We start from the raw sequence: 18910 nt of genomic DNA, 5'->3' as shown, positions 1-18910 counted from the left end.
TGGTTTATTCACACTTGTAATCTTGAATAGATATTCTTCGAAGAGCTATTTTTACATGAGTCCTTGCTTGTTGAAGAATTTTAGGCGTAAGAAGTGTTAATTATATAAATATATAGAACTAATATAATTTTAGATAGATAAAAATGTATGTTCATTTAAAATTATCGTGTGGACATGTATTACTCTATCTTCCCCAGTACTTTTCTTTCTTCTGGATAAAGCAGCCCCTTCCTTTAGATGGTGAACACATAAGGTGGTTGAATGAAAACTGCCATCTCCCTTTGGTCATAACTTTTCTGCCTACTGTAATTTGTGTAAAAAAGTAGGAACCGACCTTGGCTATGATAATAATAGCACACTGGCTCCTAGCCACAAAGACTGACCTCAGACCTGGGGGTGGGGATAAGAAGGGGTTTGCCTGTATCCCAAGCCAGTTCTTCTCTCAAGAGTTTTAACTGAATTGAAGGTGGAAGGGAATAGCTCTCTCCCTCCTAGTAGCAAAGCTGGGCACTGGAGAGCCAGGAGCTACTAGCAGACATTAATCTAGCCCAGGATTTCTCAGCCTCAGCAATGACATTTGGGGTTAAAAATTTATTTGTAGTTGGAAGCTCTACTGTGCATTCTTACCTCTATCCACTAGATACCAGTAGCACCCTCCTCCCCAAGTGTGACAACAAAAAATAGCTCTAGGCTCTGCTAATTGTCACTTGGGGATCACATTGCGCCAGCTGAGAACCACAGAATTAGCTTCACGTAAAGGCAGCAATAGAAGAAAGTGAGGCCAACCATTCAAGAGAAGTAGGGAATAGACAGAAAGAAAAAGATATCTGTTTAGGACCAGTCATGCCCAAATATATCCTTTTCTTTTTGATTATGTAAACTAGTCAATTCCACATATATATATATATATATATATTTTTTTTTTTTAAAGTAGTTTGATTTGTTCTTTTGTCAAGTGCAATAATAAGAATCCTGAAACAAAGCATGGTCTCTTAACAAGTAATGCAGGGACAACTGGATACCTACATGCAAAAGAATAAAATTGGGCTTTTTCTTCGCACCATATACAAACTTTAAATCAAAATGGACTAAAGCCCTAAAACTCTCAGAAGAAAACAGGAATTAATCTTCATAACCTCATACTTGGCAATGAATATGATACCAAAAGCATGAGCAACATAAGAAAAAATAGATACTTTGGACTTCATCAAAATGAAAAACTTCTGTGCTTTAAATGGCATAATCAAGAAAATGAAATTCATAATTCGAGAGATTTGTACATTAAATACATAAAGAACTCTTACAACTCAATAATAAAAGCACACAAAACCTGAATTTAAAAGTGGGAAAAATATGTGAATAGACACTTGTCCAAAAATATGTATACAAATGGCCATTAAGCACATGAAAAGATGCATCAGGGAAATTCAAATAAAAAACAATGAGATGCCACTTCATACCCACTAGGGCGGTTATAATAAAAAAATCAGATAGTAACAAGTATTGGTGAGGATGTGGAGAAATTAGGACCTTTATCCACTGCTGGAGGGAATGTAAAATGGTGCAGCCACTTTGGAAAACAATCTGGCAGCTCCTCAAATGGCTAAACAGAGTTATAATATAACCCAGCAATCCCACTTTCAGGTATAGGCCAGAGAAAAGTGAAAACATATGTCCCCCCAAAATCCTGTATATCAATATTCATAGCAGCATTATTCATAATAGCCAAAGTTGGAAACAACCTAAATGTCCATCAGTGAAAGGATAAACATAATAGATGAACAAAATGTGGTATAACCACATAATGGAGCATTTTCAGCCATAAAAATAACGAAGTATTGACAAATACTACAACATTGATGAACCTAAGTGAAGGAAGCCAGTCACAAAAGATCACATATGATTATATTAATATGAAATATCCAGAATAGGCAAATCTATAGAGACAGAAAGAAGATTCCTTAGGCCTTGGGAGATGGGGGTTGAGGACTAAGACAGTGACAGTTAAAAGGGATGGGGATTCTTTTTGCAGTGATGAAAAAGTGAAAGCGAAGTAAATAATTATAAACAAGAAAATGGCTGCATAAATTGCTGTAGATTCATTTACTGCATGATATACTGTGCAGTCATATATACTGTGCAGTCATGTAAAGAGTAGAGCTATTTTTGACTTTGAAGGCTTTCCAGAAGATATTGTTGAGGAAAGAAGCAAAATAGCATGTATAGTATGATGTCATTTTTAGATCAAAGATAAAAGCTATGTGTGTATAAGTATGTACAGTATATTATGAGAATGGAAAAGTGTAAGGGTACATGCTAGTTAACATGGGTTACCTGTGCGGCTATGCATGGTATGTATTTGGGATAGCAGTCACGTGGATGGAAAAGGAGGAGAGGGATGAGGAAAGGCATACAGTGCACTAAAGAGTGGGGGAAAAGGTATTGCACTTAAAAACAAAGCACATTTCATTTATCCCATTGAATCATTTAATGATCTGATTAACTATCATTTCTCTGCCAGGTTTTCTAAGTTTACTGTATCATTTAACAACCTGTGGGTTAGAGATTATTATCTCCATTACCTCCAGATGGGGAAACTGAAGTTCAGAAGGCTTAAAGAGCTTGCAAAACAATACTGTTGGGGCAATTTTGATAAACAGGAAGGACTCCCACCTAAAATTTGTTTTGGATGTCAAGACTCATGATGCCACAAACACACCAAGAGGATATGACAAGGTTTATCGCTTACATCATGAGGCTTTCTGGGGAGAGCAAGGCTGGCCTCTTGGACTGATTCAAAAATGGTTTGAGACATTTGGAAAAGCAGACCAGCTAAGGTTTTTATGGTGGTTAGCAGGTAGATTCCCATCTGTCGGGAGGGGCTTGCACAGTTTGAACTTTATTCCAGTCAGTGCCAAAGGAGGGAGCACTTGGGCTCTCCAAGCAGCTTGCCCAGAAGATGTGGGGCAGAAGAGGAAGACAGAGGCGTGGGACTTATAAGCTGTCAGCAGCCAAAGGTCAAAAAATGGAGGAAGATTTTTTTATTACAAATGGTTTAAAAATTATATTTGCCAATATTTAAGAAAAGTGTTTCATTTTATATTTATAGCTGTGTGTGTATAAGTGAATCTCGTGTCTCAGTTAAAACAATTTAAATGTCTAGTTTTGTGACACTTGATAATACCCAAAATATGAAGTCACATGTGTAAGACAGCAAGCATGACCAAACTCCTCAAATTTCAGTCCTGAGAAATATCTATTTCTGAAAATCAGCAAAAATTAAATAATCAACACATTTAGCTTTTTTATATGGTTATAAAATTAATAGAAAAAATCTGTATGATCAGTATTACTAGAATGTAAGCTCTGAAAGTATCTTTTTCATCACTACAGAACATAAGCACCTACAACTGTGCCTTGCATGGAGTAGACAATAAATGAATGGGAAAATAAACTGGATAAACACTGTATATCTTAACAAATAAAAGCTAGGTATGAATTGTAAAGAATATGCACAAATTTTACAAAGCCCAAATATATCTACTAGTGGGAATATAATTATATAAGGATTTCTAACTAATAACTCAAATAACAATTTAAATCTTGGAAACTTTTTAATTGTGGAAAACAATTACTTAACTTTTAACAAATTAATTTTTGAACAGTTATCAATTTTAATAATGTCAATTTTTAGATATTACTTTGAGTTCCTAATATTAAACTGAATAGTATTTCAGAGGAAATGATAATGAAATAAAAATGAATACGCAGTATACTTGTTAACACATGCTGAACTCATTTTAGAATGTTTAAGAGGCTTGAGCTACTAGGAGGAAAAGAATACACTGCAGCCAACCACTTCATACTAAACTTTTTATTAAAACAGTCCTTACAACATATTTAAAATGGCATGTTCCACAGTCAAATATTTAAGAAAAAAAATCTATATGCAATTATTGGCACACAAATTTAAGAACATAATTAAAACCAAGCCAGATATCTCTCTGTATTTATATATCTATATACATATAGATATATATCCATACAGATAGATATATCTTCAAATTCATGTCAGTGACCTGGAATACCTGAGATTTCAAGTTGTTGGTTTTCCAGATGGGTACAAAACATTTTTCATCCACTTTATAAGGACACGGCAGATCCAGAAAGAATAACTTTGGTTAATAAATGCTGTCTCCCAAAGATCAAACAGAAGTCCTCAATGGGATTAAGGTTTATCTTCAGAGGCTTCTTCCAAGTGAAGGTTGGTCTGTGATGTAAGGAATGACTCCCACGTAGCAAGGCACTGAATAATGGAAACACACCATGAGGCAATCAACAATAGTTTACTTTCAGTGTTAAAGGATTAATAAATTCTAACACATCTGTTCCTACTGCAATCTGCTCTATTCTTCTCTCCCATCAGCTTGTCAGAATCCTTGTCATTTTCTACATATTTTAATTCTTAATGAGGGATGCTACTGCTAAGTAAGGGGAAAACATATTAAAGGTTAAAAAGATTAGCAAGGATTAGTTTGCTGAAATAATCTACTATTACCCCATATTAAGAGAAAAATAAGAGCTTCACGTTATAGAGGCAAAGATGGACCCAGCTGGAGCTGAGGAGGAGTGATGATACAAACATACTTCAGTTCGATTTGAATCCCATTACGTCAATTGTGAGTTTGAGAAAGTTGATTAATCTTTATTGGAGTTTCTTCAGCTATAACTTAGGTTAATAATAGTACTTACCACTAGCACAACTGTGAGAATTAAATGTATATAATCTGTATAAGTCTCTATGCAGAATGCCTAGCATAAAGTGAATGCTCCAAAAGTTAGCAACTGTTATGATGGTCTGTTGGGACTGGGTGGAAAGACTTAGTTATTAATGTGCCACAGGAAATGAAACAGGATTGTAAGGGTCTGAAGGCGCTGGGAACACATAAACATAAATGTGGCCTATTTGATTTTGCCTGGGGATGATCCTCCTAATAGACTAGTCTCAAGTATCTGTATGAAGTTTATCTACAGCATAATTTTAATAGTCTGTACACATTTAGGATTCTTGTAAATCATAACTACTCTAATATATATTCAGCCTGAGCTATAATGAATTTGGAAAGAAATTATGTTTTTTTTTTTCAAATGTGGATAGACTGCCATAGACATGTATGTTTCTACATAAACACTCCAAAGCTGGACTGATTAACACTGGTCCACCTGGCTCAACTACCTCCATGTCACTTCTTCTGCCTCTAATGCTTTCACAGCTTTAAAGTGTCTATATCGGACAACCAGCACTAATAACAGACTAGAGATTTCTCAAACACTGTAAAAACTCAAATGTTTAAAGCTCTCAAATTATAAGTGTGTTGCATTTCAAAAAGTATGTATGTATATACTTATGTGTGTGTGTGTGTGTGTATGCACAAACACATTTTTTTCAAACTGAAGATTTAGAATATGGGAAATACTATGTCAAATCTGATTTTCATAAAGATTACATACTGTGATTTAATTCTGAGATAGGCTCTAATAACTTAGGAAGCTAATAATAAAGCTAAAAGATTCGTATAATTACATGAGAACAGTAAAACACTGAAAGACCTAATTGTCAAATAAAAAGATACTGGGTAAAATTTACCCAATAAATTACTGGATTAAATAGTGGGTATTTATTTTGTCATATATTTTGAAGGCCAGGCTTGGGGTAATGTAGGCCTCATTAGAATAATCAAGTTTATCAAGACTTTAAGGGATACTTTTTGCTTTAAATAGCTTTAGAAGGTACTGAAAGCCAAGTACAATCCAAGAAGCACAGTCACTGTAATGAATTGATTCTGGGATTTGCTTTTATCCTCCAGTAAGTTACTAACTTTATGATATTGTAGCTCCTCAGATATATAATAATAATAGCCTCTCTCATAGGGATGGAGAAATAACAAAATAAAATAGGAAGAGGAGGGGAGGGGAGTAGAGGAGTCAGGGTCAGGTAGTTACTACAGGAGCCAACTAGTAAGAATGGCCTCCTCTTAGACGGTACAGGAGAAGAATTTAGATATCTTTAAGTGTATCCAAATGTCTATACTCATGAAAAGGCATAAAAGATGAATACTTCACATTTAGTATATTTTTCAAATTTTGGACTGTAATTTATAATTGTCCAAACTATGCATGATTTGGGGGGCATGGAGGGTAGACATACAAAAATCTCTTCACTCAACAAATATTTTGGAGTTCTTACTATATGCCAGGCACTGTGATGATGCTAGCACACAGCCCACAAACTAATAGAAATTATGATTTAGCATGAAACCTAAGTAAGCAAATATAATCAAGTATAGGGTCTGTGATGTTACAGGACATGATGGGAGTAACAGTAATAGGATCTAAGTCACATTGGAGTGTCCTAATGTTTCCTAGTGGAAGTAATCACTGAATGCAGACTAAAAGATGAGCAAAAGGTAGATCCCATAAATCTCTGCATGTTTGTGAAAGGTCAATGTGAGGAAGTATAGTGTAGTGATCAAGAACTCAGGCTCAGGACTTCTGTTGCTGACCCAGAGGGTATAACAGGGACTGGAAAGGCTCTTTTGCCTCAATCAATCAATCAATCAATCAATCAATCAGGTAGATACTATATATATAAAGCAATGGTTTTCAACACCCTGGAAATCAGGCAACAAAGGATAGTGGTCCCTGGGGTGGGGTGGGGAAGAGTAAGCTCCATGATTACCCCAGTGTTATGGACTGAAGCTCTAATTCTAGTACCTCAGAAAGTGACTATATTTGCAGATAAGGCCTTTAAAGAGGTAATTAAGGTAAAATAAGGTCATGTGGGTGAGCCCTAATCCAATATGACTGGTGTCCTTATAAGAAGAGGAAATCTGGCCACAGAGAGGAAACCAGAAATGTGAGCAAGGAGGAAAAATCATCTGAGGACACAGCAGGAAGGTGGGCATCTGCAAGCCAAGGAGAGGGGCCTTAGAAGAAAGCAGCCTGCTGACACCTTGATCTTAGACTTCTAGCCTCTAGAATTGTGAGGAAACAAATTTCTGTTGTTTAAGCCACCTAGTCTTTGGAATTTTGTTATGGCATCTGTATTGGGCTGTTCTTGCATTGCTATAAAGAAATACCTGAGACTGGGTAATTTATAAAGAAAAGAGGTTTAATTGCCTCACAGTTCTGCAGGCTGTATAGGAAGCTGCTGCCAGCATCTTCTCAGATTCTGGGGAGGCCTCATGAAGTTTACAATCATGGCAGAAGGTGAGGTGGTAGCAGGCATGCCGCATGGCGTATGCAGGAGTGGTGGAGGTGGTGCTACACACTTCTAAACAACCAGATCTCCTGTGAACTCAGAGCAAGCACTCACTTATCACCAAAGGGATGGTCCAAGACATACATAAGGGATCCACCACTATGATCCAAATACCTTCCACCAGCCCCAACTCCAACACTGCGGATGACATTTCAACATGAGATTTGGGTGGGGACGAATATCTAAACTATATTAGTATCCCTCTAATATGCCAGCTTATTGCCTTAACAGAATTTCGAGGCCATGGTGAAGGGAGACATTACCTGGCTGACTCACTGAGTTAAAAGGATAGAGCTAAGAGTTCGAGAAAATGCAGCTAGAGTTCATAGACCAGAGTATCAGAGAAGAGAGTGGTGCATGGAAAGCTCTGGAGATATGCGGAGGGTGCCCCACACCAAGCAGAGTACTGACTGGCACATGCATGTGAGAAGACTACCAGAGACAGGGGAAAAAGCCATCGGGAAGGATTAAACAGTATCCAGCATTCTCATAGGGCCTACAATAGTACAGAATCCCATCAGGCAGACTGGAAAATCACTTAATTCATTATCTGCAAAATTTATCACCAGCAGAACACACTACAACCAATATTAAAAAAAAAAAAAAAAAAAAAAAACTCATCTGGCAGAAAAAAAAGAGACCAGATAGAAATATGGATCTATAAACAAATGACATAGTAACGACATGAGTACATATGATACATACTTTTCCTATTATTTAAATGTATTTAAAATCTAATGAATTAAAAATAGCAAAATCTTGCAGGGCTTATAATACATGTATAGGCAAAATGTATGACAAAAACAGCATAAAAGCCAGATGAAAGGGAATGAAAAAACACATTTGTAGGTTCTTATATATGAAGTATAATACTACCTGAAGGTAGACTATGATAAATTTAAGACACATACAGTAACCTAAAAATAACCACTAAAATAATAAAAGTTATACCTAATACAAAAGAGTTACATCTAATACACCACAAAGAGATGTAAAATGAAATCATGTAAAATTGTCTATCAATTCAAAAGAAGGCAAAAGAAGAAAATAGGAACAATGTACAGACAGAACAAATAAAACACAGCAAGATAAAAGACTCAAATATATCAATAATCCTACTCAAATGTCTACATGCTAAACACACCATTAAAAGATGCAGATTGCCAACTGAATAAAAAAACAAGACCTACCTATACTTTGTTTAAATTTCTTATAAATATTTTAAATATAAGGACAAATATAGTTAAAATTAAAAGGATTAAAAAATATATATATGGGCAGGCATGGTGGCTCATGCCTGTAATCCCAGCAGTTTGGGTGGTCGAGGTGGGAGGATCACTTGAGCCCAGGAGTTTGAGATAAGCCTGGGCAACACAGTGAGATCCTGGGTTTATTTTTTTAATTAAAAATACATATATATGTTTTATTGTAACATATGTCAAAAGAAAAGCTAGCATGGCTACATTAGTATTAGAAATGTAGATCTCAGAGCAAAGATCATTATCAGAGATAAAGATGATCATTTCATAATGATAAAAGGGCCATCCATCTAGAGGACATAATTTAAAATGTTTACACACATAAAAGAGTTTCATAAAAACTGACAGAAATACAAGGAGAAAGACAAATCTACAATTATAATTGATTTTGATACCCCTCTCAAGAACTGACAGAATGTGTGGACAGAAAATCAGCACTCATATATAAGATCTGAACCACACTATCAATCAAGTTTGCCTAACTGAGATCTACAGGACAAAAGCAGAATACATATTTTCTTTCACATGCCCATAAAACATTTACCAATATGGATCACATTCTGGGCCATACAATAAGTCTTGATAAATTTTAAAAGATTCAAGTCATATAAAGTATGTTCTCTGAACATAATGGAATTAAATTATAAATCAGTACCAGAAAGATATCTTTAAAATCACCAAATATTTGAAATCTAAACAGGACAATTATAAAAAGCCTCCAGTGTCAAAGGACAAATCAATGGAGAAATCAGAAAGAGTTTTGAACTGAATGAATATGAAAACACAACACATCAAAAATTTTGGTATGCCATTAAAGTAGAACAGAGAGATTTTTTAGCACTAAATGCCTACACATGAAAAGAGGAAAGATTTCAAATCAATGCCTTTAGTCTTTACCTTGAAAACCAAAAAAAGAACAATTAAATGCAGAAGAAAAAAAAACAAAAAACAGAAAAGAGCAAAGTGGGACTCAATGAAAGAAAAAACAAAAACAGTAAAGAAAAATCAATGAAACTGATGTTAGATCCTTGAGAAAATTAATAAAATTATTAAACTTTTTAGCCATGTTGATCATAAAAAAAGAGATGACATAAATTGCCAAGGGTCAGGAATGAGAGAGTTAATGTTAGTTCGGATTCCACTAAAGGAAAAAAGAAAATTATGAAGATCTTTATGCCTATACATTTGACAGTGTAGATGAAATGGACCAATTCCTTGAAAGACATAAACTACCAAAATTCACCACAGAAGAAACCAATAACCCAAATGAATTTGAATTTGTAGTTAAATATCTTCATACACATACACAAATTTCTAGGCCCAGAGTTCTTCACTAGAGAATTATAGCAAACATTTAAGGAAGAAATCATACTAATTCCATATAATCTCTTCCAGAAAATTGAAGACATGGGGATGCTGTCCAAAATACCAGAGCCAAAGACATTCCAAGAAAAGAAAACTACAGACCATTATTCCTCCTAAACATAGATGCAAAACTTCTAAATAAAATTTTGGTAAATCAAAGGCAGTAATTTCTATAAAGAATTATGCATCATAACCAAATGGAGTTTATCCCACGAAGGCAAGACTGGATTAACATTCAAGTATTTATCAAATGATGATATTAAATGCAATATTATCTCAACAGACAAAAAATTTATCAAATTCCAATGTCCATTGCTTATTAAAAAAAATTTCTCAGCAAATTAGGAATAAAGGAGAAGTTCCACAACCCGAGGAACATCTACAAAAAGCTACAATTAACATCATATGCAGATATGCAGTAAATATTAGCTGTTATTAGTATTTTATTGATTTTTCAATACCAAGAAAAAAAAGAAATTAAAACTCAGTTTCATAAACCACTCACAAATCTCCTTCACCAAATGTCAAGTATAAAAAAGAAGGAAATACAAAAATGCCAAAGTATATCTTTAAAAAATCTACCCACAATGTTTATAAAACAGAAAACTATTAACTGGGTTGAAAGGGCTGACAGGAACAGCACCACACTTTACATTTAGAGAAAAGCCCTCAGTTTCCTTTGCAAACCATCTTTCTACTAGACCGCTCTGGTTTGCTCTCTGCAAACCCATACACAATCTTGTATCTGGTACCCCTACAGGGCAGCCCCAAAGCAATTACTACTTTCAGAAGATATATTTTTAATAACTGCAAAACTATCATTTAAATAAACTTCTGAACATTCTCCAGGTAAAATTCAAAATGAAATTCTAAGCAGTCTGCTCTATTTAGAATTCCTGTCAAATAAGTGATTCAAATTGCACCAAAGATGGCATTAGCCCTCAAGTGAACAAACTCCTATCATTTTCATATTCTGCATTAACGATACTAGTTTAATAAAGATCTAAGATATTCAGTAGTCGTCCATGCTAATTAGTGATGTGAATTAACATCTTCCTTTCTAAATTAAGTACTAAAAGGGACAGTAAAACATGGTAAGACAGACAAATTAGCTACTTCACGATTTCCTTATCTTCCATACCAGAGGCAGAAAAAGTATGTGTTTTGAAATACAGAACATTATAGAACAACTGACATAGGATAGCAACAGAAATAACATTAACAACTGCCATATACTGATATGAATACTTGGTCAGGCATTATAATGATTGCTTTATGTATCACCTTCTTTAAGCCTCATAATGATTACTGTGAATCCTATTTTACAGGTGAGAAAGCTGAGGCTCAAATGGTCTAAGTGTGTTTATATGATAAATCTCGTAAATTGTATGCCAGTATTTATCCATTAACAAATGGATAGTCAATGTCCTGAACCATCACCAGGGTACATTTAATAAGTCACTGGGCCAAGAGAATGAGATGCCTTTCTTTCACATAGTAGAAGGATGATTTTGGAAGGAGAAGTAGGTAAGAAACCCTGACTGCAGGGGCATCAGGCTGATCACATTTTAGGAAAGAGTATTTACAAAAGGTGAGGGTATGGAAATTAATTCCCTTTATATATCTTGGAAATTCTGCATATATTTCTAGGAACAGATCTATACTTTGAAGAAGACTGAATTAATACATGCCAGGAATATGGTAAGTGCTCAGAAAATGCAGATGACTCTATAGAGAAGGAATATATTGAACAACTGATGCTAAGATGCTGGCCATCAGAAAACTGCACTTTTCTATTTGAACACTAACCAACTGATATCTTGGTTTCTATTGCTCTCCAAACATGTAAATATTAAGTTTTGCCCTAAGAGCCCGATCCCCATTCATGTTGCTGACCAATATGGTTTTTTTCTAGGCCTGTAAAGCTGAGAATCTGACCTTGAACTATGCAGCTCCTGACGCTACCAGATCACTTTGGGATTCTTGATAGCCGATTTTTAATTAAATAAATGTAATTGCCTGTTTCCACCAATGTTTAATATTCACCTGTGTTACCTGATATCCTGCACATATATCAAATTAATGTACACAAATCTTTATAAACAACAAAAAGATGATCTCTAAGGCTCCTTAAATTTCTTTGCTCTTGAGTACGAAACCTAAGGAAAAACTCAAGAAATATATTGTTTATACCATATAGTTAGGTAATTTATTACAGTGAGTATTTACTGTCCTCAGGATCATAATTGGAGGATATAAAGAATCATTAATACAACCAAAAAAATCTCAAAACCTGGTGTGAGACTTGCTTATAAGTTAGTATTTTTAAAACATGTTTCTATTTGTTATTTGGCTTTGCATTGTCATCAATTTTTTTTCACTTTTAAATCATTACAGTGAGTGAAAAAAGTTAGTATCTGTCAAAATCAGAGTAGTAATAAAAAATATCCAGCATCACTGCTGGCCTGACATTTAATAGTTCTGGTTAGCTCATTCTAGCTTTGGATTCTCATACTATCATGGGAGAACCAAGAACAACAGGAGTTCCACTTCCATTTGAATAAGATGTCATCATTTTCCATACATACTGTTTTATTTCATGCAATAATCTTCTGATGAAATCAGGTAATTTCATTTTACAGTTAAGAAAACTGACTCTCATAGTGCAGTACTGTGTTTTTTCCAGTGCTCTACTACATGAAACCATGGTGAACAGCTCCTTCTCACTGCAGAAAAAATTAAGTTGATAAATATGCTATACATGCAATTAGCCAGGATGTGGGTTGACCAGAAAAAAAGCTTATCACAAATCCTTGTTAATTGAGAATCCAGTACACATTTCCCCCAGGTGGCTGCAGTTGTAGCCAAAGTCAAGTGCAATTTCTCTTTGAGGAGAGAACTCAGAGAAAGAGAGCCACCACAGGAAGGTGAGCCAGAGGTGGGGAAAACAGACCCAACAGGTAAACAAAGCCTTTTTGTTTCTACACACAGGCTGAAAACCTTCCTAAATGCAGTACACACAGATGGAATACATAGAAAATTAAGTTTTAATTCCAAAACTGACTTTCAGTTTTGAAAATAAATCTCTTGCTACTTCAGTAAAGGTGGTGACATTTTGCATTAGAAGAGGTAAATGTCTCTTCGGCTCTCATAAGTGGGTAGTAATCCCACAAGCAGATGTGATCAAGTTTTCTAAAGAGTAAATGGTGACAATAATGGTATTTCTACAGATACGATACAGCTTTCAATGGAAGCTTCCACATTTGAGAATCACTATTTTCTCAAGCTTGTGGGATATGAAGATGTTCTGTCCTACAGTGTGACTTCAGGCAAATTTCTTTATTGCTCTGGGCCTGTTTACCTATTCATAGTAAGGGGTTTGAACTATGTGTGTCCATTAAGCTTCATCCCAGAACTAAAACTGAAGATTTCCAGAGGCTAACTGTGGCTGACAAAAAGTTGGCAAATGAAATCATATGTAATGTATAAATATGCCTCGCTCTGCTTTGCTTGACCCAGCGTGGAATACAGCAAACATAAAATTTTACTTCTCCTCCTAGCATTTGGTATTTATAAGATAACTGTCATTATAATTTCCAAATATAAGATTCATAAATATATGAGAAATATTTTCAGTACCACTACAGCTGCTAGTACTACTAGTAGCCAACATTTACTGAATCCTTATTAGACACTGAGTTAACTGCTTTTCTTTCATTCATTCATTCATTCATTCGTTTAGCAGCTTTGAAACCTATTTTCTATGGTGGCAATTTTGGGCTCAAGTAAAATTAGTGGCTTAAGGCATATGCTGGTTAAGACTCCTGGAAATACCTGATGAGCATAAAATCTTATAAACTATTTTTAGTGACTCACTGGGAATGTTAAACTTTGCTTCTAAGACTTTTCTTTCATCTTTACATATTCCTTTCCATAAATACATATATGTATATGCATGTACATTTATATTTTAACACCCAAACAAATCTATGGCATTTTCATCACTTCATCGATGAGGATACTGAGGCTCACTAAAATAAAAAAAGTCCTCAAGGTCACTCAGCTAAAAGTCAGAAGTCATGCCTGTCCAAAGCCCATCCCCTTAGCCACCATGTGATGCCTACATAACAAGTTGATATCGCCATAGGTAATGACACCACACTGTTGACAGAAACAGCTAATAGAAAATTTACTTTCATTCGAATTATTATATAAGTCAAAATAAAATATAATTATATATTTCTGTGGTAATAAAGTAAAATAACTAGACATTTACCTAATAATAATAATGATACTTATTATTATAGAATATGTAAAAGCCACACCTTCCCATATATTTATTTTAAAACTGGAAATTCCCATATTAAGCCATATAAAGCTGTTGTGCTTCTACTTTTCACCTCTAATCAAAAAGCAACTTTTAGAGAGAGTACCATGATAATTACATCTTTCTCAGTAAGCTACCAATTGGAAATATGACTGAGTTTCTTCTAAGTATTTTAACATTGTCTCAAATGATCCTGGACACAGATGATATCACCTACATTTGAGAAAACGTTGAAGCCCAAATTCGCAATCATTTCTATACTAGGCCAATAGCACCACGAAATTATTTATCATCTATAAAAATTATTAGGTTATGCCTAAAATGAGGGCAATAGGGTGTGTAACATTTTAGTAACTTTTTAAATCTCCTAAACCTAAAATTGAAACACTAATTAAAACTTTCAGGAGCTACATATTTTCAAATTCTGAAATGTAATCAATCTGGAAATTAGAGTTGATATTGCCAGAGAAAAACAACTTCTATTATTTTGCAATAGCTCAAAATTATTCATTATATTTCATTTTTGGAAAAGTCTAAATTCAGCTTCTGAGAATCATCTGCCAACTTATAATTTTAGAAATACCAATAACTTAAAAATAACAGGATTTGCATATTATTTTTCTAAAAATTACTTTTACATATCTCTCAAGAATGTAAGTGATAAGTGTACACTTGTAATTATTGCAAATATTTAAATGACTGCAACACAGATAGTTAATGCAAAAGGACTCATTAGCTACAAACGCCATCTTGTGGTCCATTTTTTTATTATTCTGTAGCATTATTCTGTAGATGTCTAACTCAAGATTGATAAAGACAGATGGAGCCCTAGATAAAATTTATTCCATTTCTCTCATTTTTATACATGGGGAAATTGGGGCTCTGAAAGGTCTAATATATTGGAAATCTTTATAGGAGAAATTAACGTAAGAGCCAAAATTTAAATTCATATCCTTACAAACTCATACTTTTTCTATACCACATCATTGTTGTTTACTTACAGCTAAGCCAATTACATGAAGTTTATCCAGTTTAATGCTAGACACTTCAGACATCAAGCTTATCTGTTTTTGTGTTAGCATACGCTGAAAGTACAACCAACTGTACAGATAAGCACATTTACCTCTGGATTATTAGAAAATTATTAAGGTGCAACTATGATGTTTAAGCACATTATTTTATAGCATGTTATATATGTGTTCCAGTTTTATTCTCCTAAAGACTTGTAAGGGGTGTATGTGAATGGGATATGGGGTGGGGGAAGGGAGGAATACCTCTATTTGGCAGTTTAGCAAACTGGGTATATAGAGAAGACATGATTAGGACTTTATAATTAGCTAATGCAGGCATCATGGTACCCAACTTTAATTTTTTCCATTAGAAGACCCATCTTTCTTATTTGTGATAAAATGCAGTGTGTGTGTGTGTGTGTGTGTGTGTGTGTGTGTGTTTAAATCATTTCTTCCTTTTCTATACAGAAACTATTATATTGGCCCATAGTATGTAGTCTGTCATTTACAAAGCACAATAAGCAGAATGTCCTTGATTCAGAAACTAGACATTTTTAGAAATTATTTCATTATTATGTGTAATCTCCTTCTACGCAAATCCCTGATTAACTACATAAAAACTTATGTAGCCCAAAGGATGGGAAGAAGCACAGACTATGCCATGATATAACTGTCTATTTCATACCTAGGCTCACTTTATTTGCATAGATAATCGAGAACAAATTACATTACAGAATATAGGGGACTGATGAGAATATTTTTCAATTGAAGTTTTTAAGACTGCAGAAACCCAGCTGGGTGCAGTGGCTCACACCTATAATACCAGCACTCTGGGAGGCCAAGGCAGGCAGATCACTTGAGGTCAGGAGTTTGAGACCAGCCTGGCCAACATGGTGAACCCTCGTCTCCACTAAAAATATAAAAAATTAGCCAGGCATGGTGGCAGGTGCCTGTAATCCCAGCTACTTGGTTACTTAGGAGGCTGAGGCAGGAGAATCGCTTGAACCTGGGAGGCAGAGGTTGCAGTGAGCTGAGATTGGAGCACTGCACTCCAGCCTGGGCGACAGAGCAAGACTCCATCTCAAAAAAAAAAAAAAAAGTAAAAACCTGTAAAACAAAAATATTTAAGACTTATACGACACATAATAAAAGGTTCAAAACTAGATGGAAACATGAGCTATAGCTATGGATTTTGAAAATTTAATTCAGAACAGAAATCACACTTAATCAAACAACAAAATAAGTACATAATACTTAAGAATTCTAAAAATGACAACTAGTTGATTCTAAAGTTTCTTTAGAAATAAATAAAAATAAAATCCTGCTGCATTTAAACTTAATTCTACCATTGACTGTGTTTTACATGCTTTATATGATGCTTCAATATTAAATCGACTATAAACTTTTAAATGAGAAAGGACACTATATTAAGTGTAAGAGATCAACAGACTTGTAAAAACCAGAAGGAACTTCAGGCAATGCTTCTTAAACTATCTGTGGTGAAGAACAATTGTTTTGTTTTTTCTTCTTTCAGTCATCTAAGGACCATTAAATGGTCTTACTGGCCATGACTAGTCTGTAATTCATGCCACATGCAAATCACCACAAAAGCTGGACAATATTTGAATTGTTCCATAGAATTCAACAAGTGAAACCTCCTAATCACCTACTTGGTTGTCTTGGCAATGTCTAATTGCTATCGAAGATTCCAACTGATTACTTTCAACTTCTAAATTGAATCTGTAATAACTTATGGAATGAATATCAGTCCACACTTAAAGTAGCATTAGAGATCAACACTATTACCCAAGATTTCCCAAACTATGTTCTGTAGAACACTCATTCTGCAAGAAGAAACACTGATCTAGTCAAGAAAATTATTATGTCTTCAGATTCACAATCACAACCATACAAGCACATAAAGTACTCTGAGAACTTCTTTAGTAAATAAACCTGCTTAACTACTTAATAATTACTTTTTTTAAGTCAGAAGTGTCTTCTAATACAACAGGACCTTAATATGACTCTCATAAAACTTAACTTTTGAAGAAAATTAAGTTTTTTTCAAAATTAATTAAGAGGTCACCAAAACAAATACCCAGAAAATTAAATAAATTGACCTCTAAAAAGCATATTATCATTCTCCATGCTAAAGATTATCTTATTCAAACTAACTTTGGCTTGAATATAAAGATTCCTGCAGAAAGAAACTAGTTAGATTTTAGATTTACCTCCCGGAATGTGAAAGCAGGACCTTATCAATAACATAGAAGATAATATTTACCTTCTTATTTGCTATGGTAGGGGAATATTCATCTATACATCAGTGAAAAGTTGCATCAAATTATGCAAACATAAGTTCAAAGGCAGTTGGCTATAACAGAGCAGTGTTTTAAGCCATGTTGAATTAAAATCTACTCTGTCAAGACCTCATGGTTACCCAAGCTCGTTCAAGTGGTGTTAAAATGAACACTCTAATGAGCATTAGAAATCTTATATCTCTATCATGTGTTTTCCCTGTTTTCTAGAGAACATTTCAGACAATTACTCCATAAATGGCTTCTGTGAGCAAACAAATTCAGTATGTGAGAGGATAAAGAAAGGTGACTAGGTTTCTTTCCTAAGAATTTCTTAGAAACTTAAAACAGGCTAAGATGCATTGCCAACCTTCTCCAACAAAATGAAACAGTATAACCTAAATGGGAGTAATCTGGCTATCAAGTTGCCATCCTCTATCAGTGGAAGTAAAGGATTGTAGGATCATGTATACCACAAATATACAATAATTCGAGACCCAAAGAACTATGCCCAGGGACTTCCTCTGATATTTATAATAGTCAATTTTTAAAAAGTTATTTGTGAAATGTCTTAAATGTAGATTTCCCTGAGTTCAGCTTACAATTCTTGCTTCTTCACTTATCCAAATTTCCTGGTAATAATGTGTCAAACTGAGAAGGCAGTTTCTCGGAGTCTATGGTGGCTTGCCTCCAAAGATGTTCTAGAATCACAGAAGGCTATTCCATTTCTGTATCTTTTGCTCTGATCATTTCTATGTGCCTTCAGATTCTATTTGAAAAAAGAACTGATTGCTCAACAAAAAAGTGACATATTTGGTTAAAAGGACAAGGTTAATCATTAAATAATCAATAACAATGCTGGGCTCTCGAAACACAAGGAGAAAACTCTATTAAATGTGTTGCCATTTAATGGCATTAAAAAGATGAAAAGTTGTTGTTTTCCTTTTGATGATCATCCCTAAATAAATTAGATGATCCACAGAAAAGTAGCAATGATGTAACCTGAATTTCTTAATGCATTCAGGCTTCCAGTGAGTACTTCCCAATGAATAAGACGGTAAGATAATGCAGGTACAAGGATGTAACGAATTGGAAAAGTTAACTGGTATAAAAATGGCTAGACTGAGTAAACTTCTAAGCTTCTTATCCTCTCAAGCTGGTGTGTTTGCTTTGCCAGAAATATAGCCTACATGTAAGTGGAATCTATTCAATTTTAGGGTGTATAATGTAGTTCTGAGATATTCTGCACATAGTTCCAAAGATATAGACTGCTCTTTTCTGAAGGCCCATTTTAGCACCATCAGGGCGTCTGTCTCCTGAGGTCTAGGGTT

The 18910-nt window shown here is 34.6% G+C and overlaps 1 protein-coding gene across 9 annotated transcripts in view; it reads right to left on the bottom strand.

The window, feature by feature from the left end:
• Positions 1-3859: 3859 nt before the first annotated feature.
• Positions 3860-18910, bottom strand: part of SNX7 (sorting nexin 7) — a 99182-nt gene continuing 84131 nt past the window's right edge. For all 9 annotated transcript variants that reach the window (NR_033716.2, XM_017001425.3, XM_017001428.2 and 6 more), the window contains one exon: positions 3860-4306. Coding sequence is in view for 8 of the 9 variants with exons in the window: in XM_017001425.3 (XP_016856914.1) it covers positions 4229-4306 (78 nt within the window). In the remaining variant the exon portion in view is untranslated. The remainder of the gene's footprint in view (positions 4307-18910) is intronic.

Source organism: Homo sapiens, chromosome 1 (assembly GCF_000001405.40).
Source record: "Homo sapiens chromosome 1, GRCh38.p14 Primary Assembly".
Taxonomy (NCBI): Eukaryota; Metazoa; Chordata; class Mammalia; order Primates; family Hominidae; genus Homo; species Homo sapiens.
The sequence above is the reverse complement of the archived record's forward strand: the minus strand, read 5'-3'. Positions and strand labels throughout refer to the sequence as shown.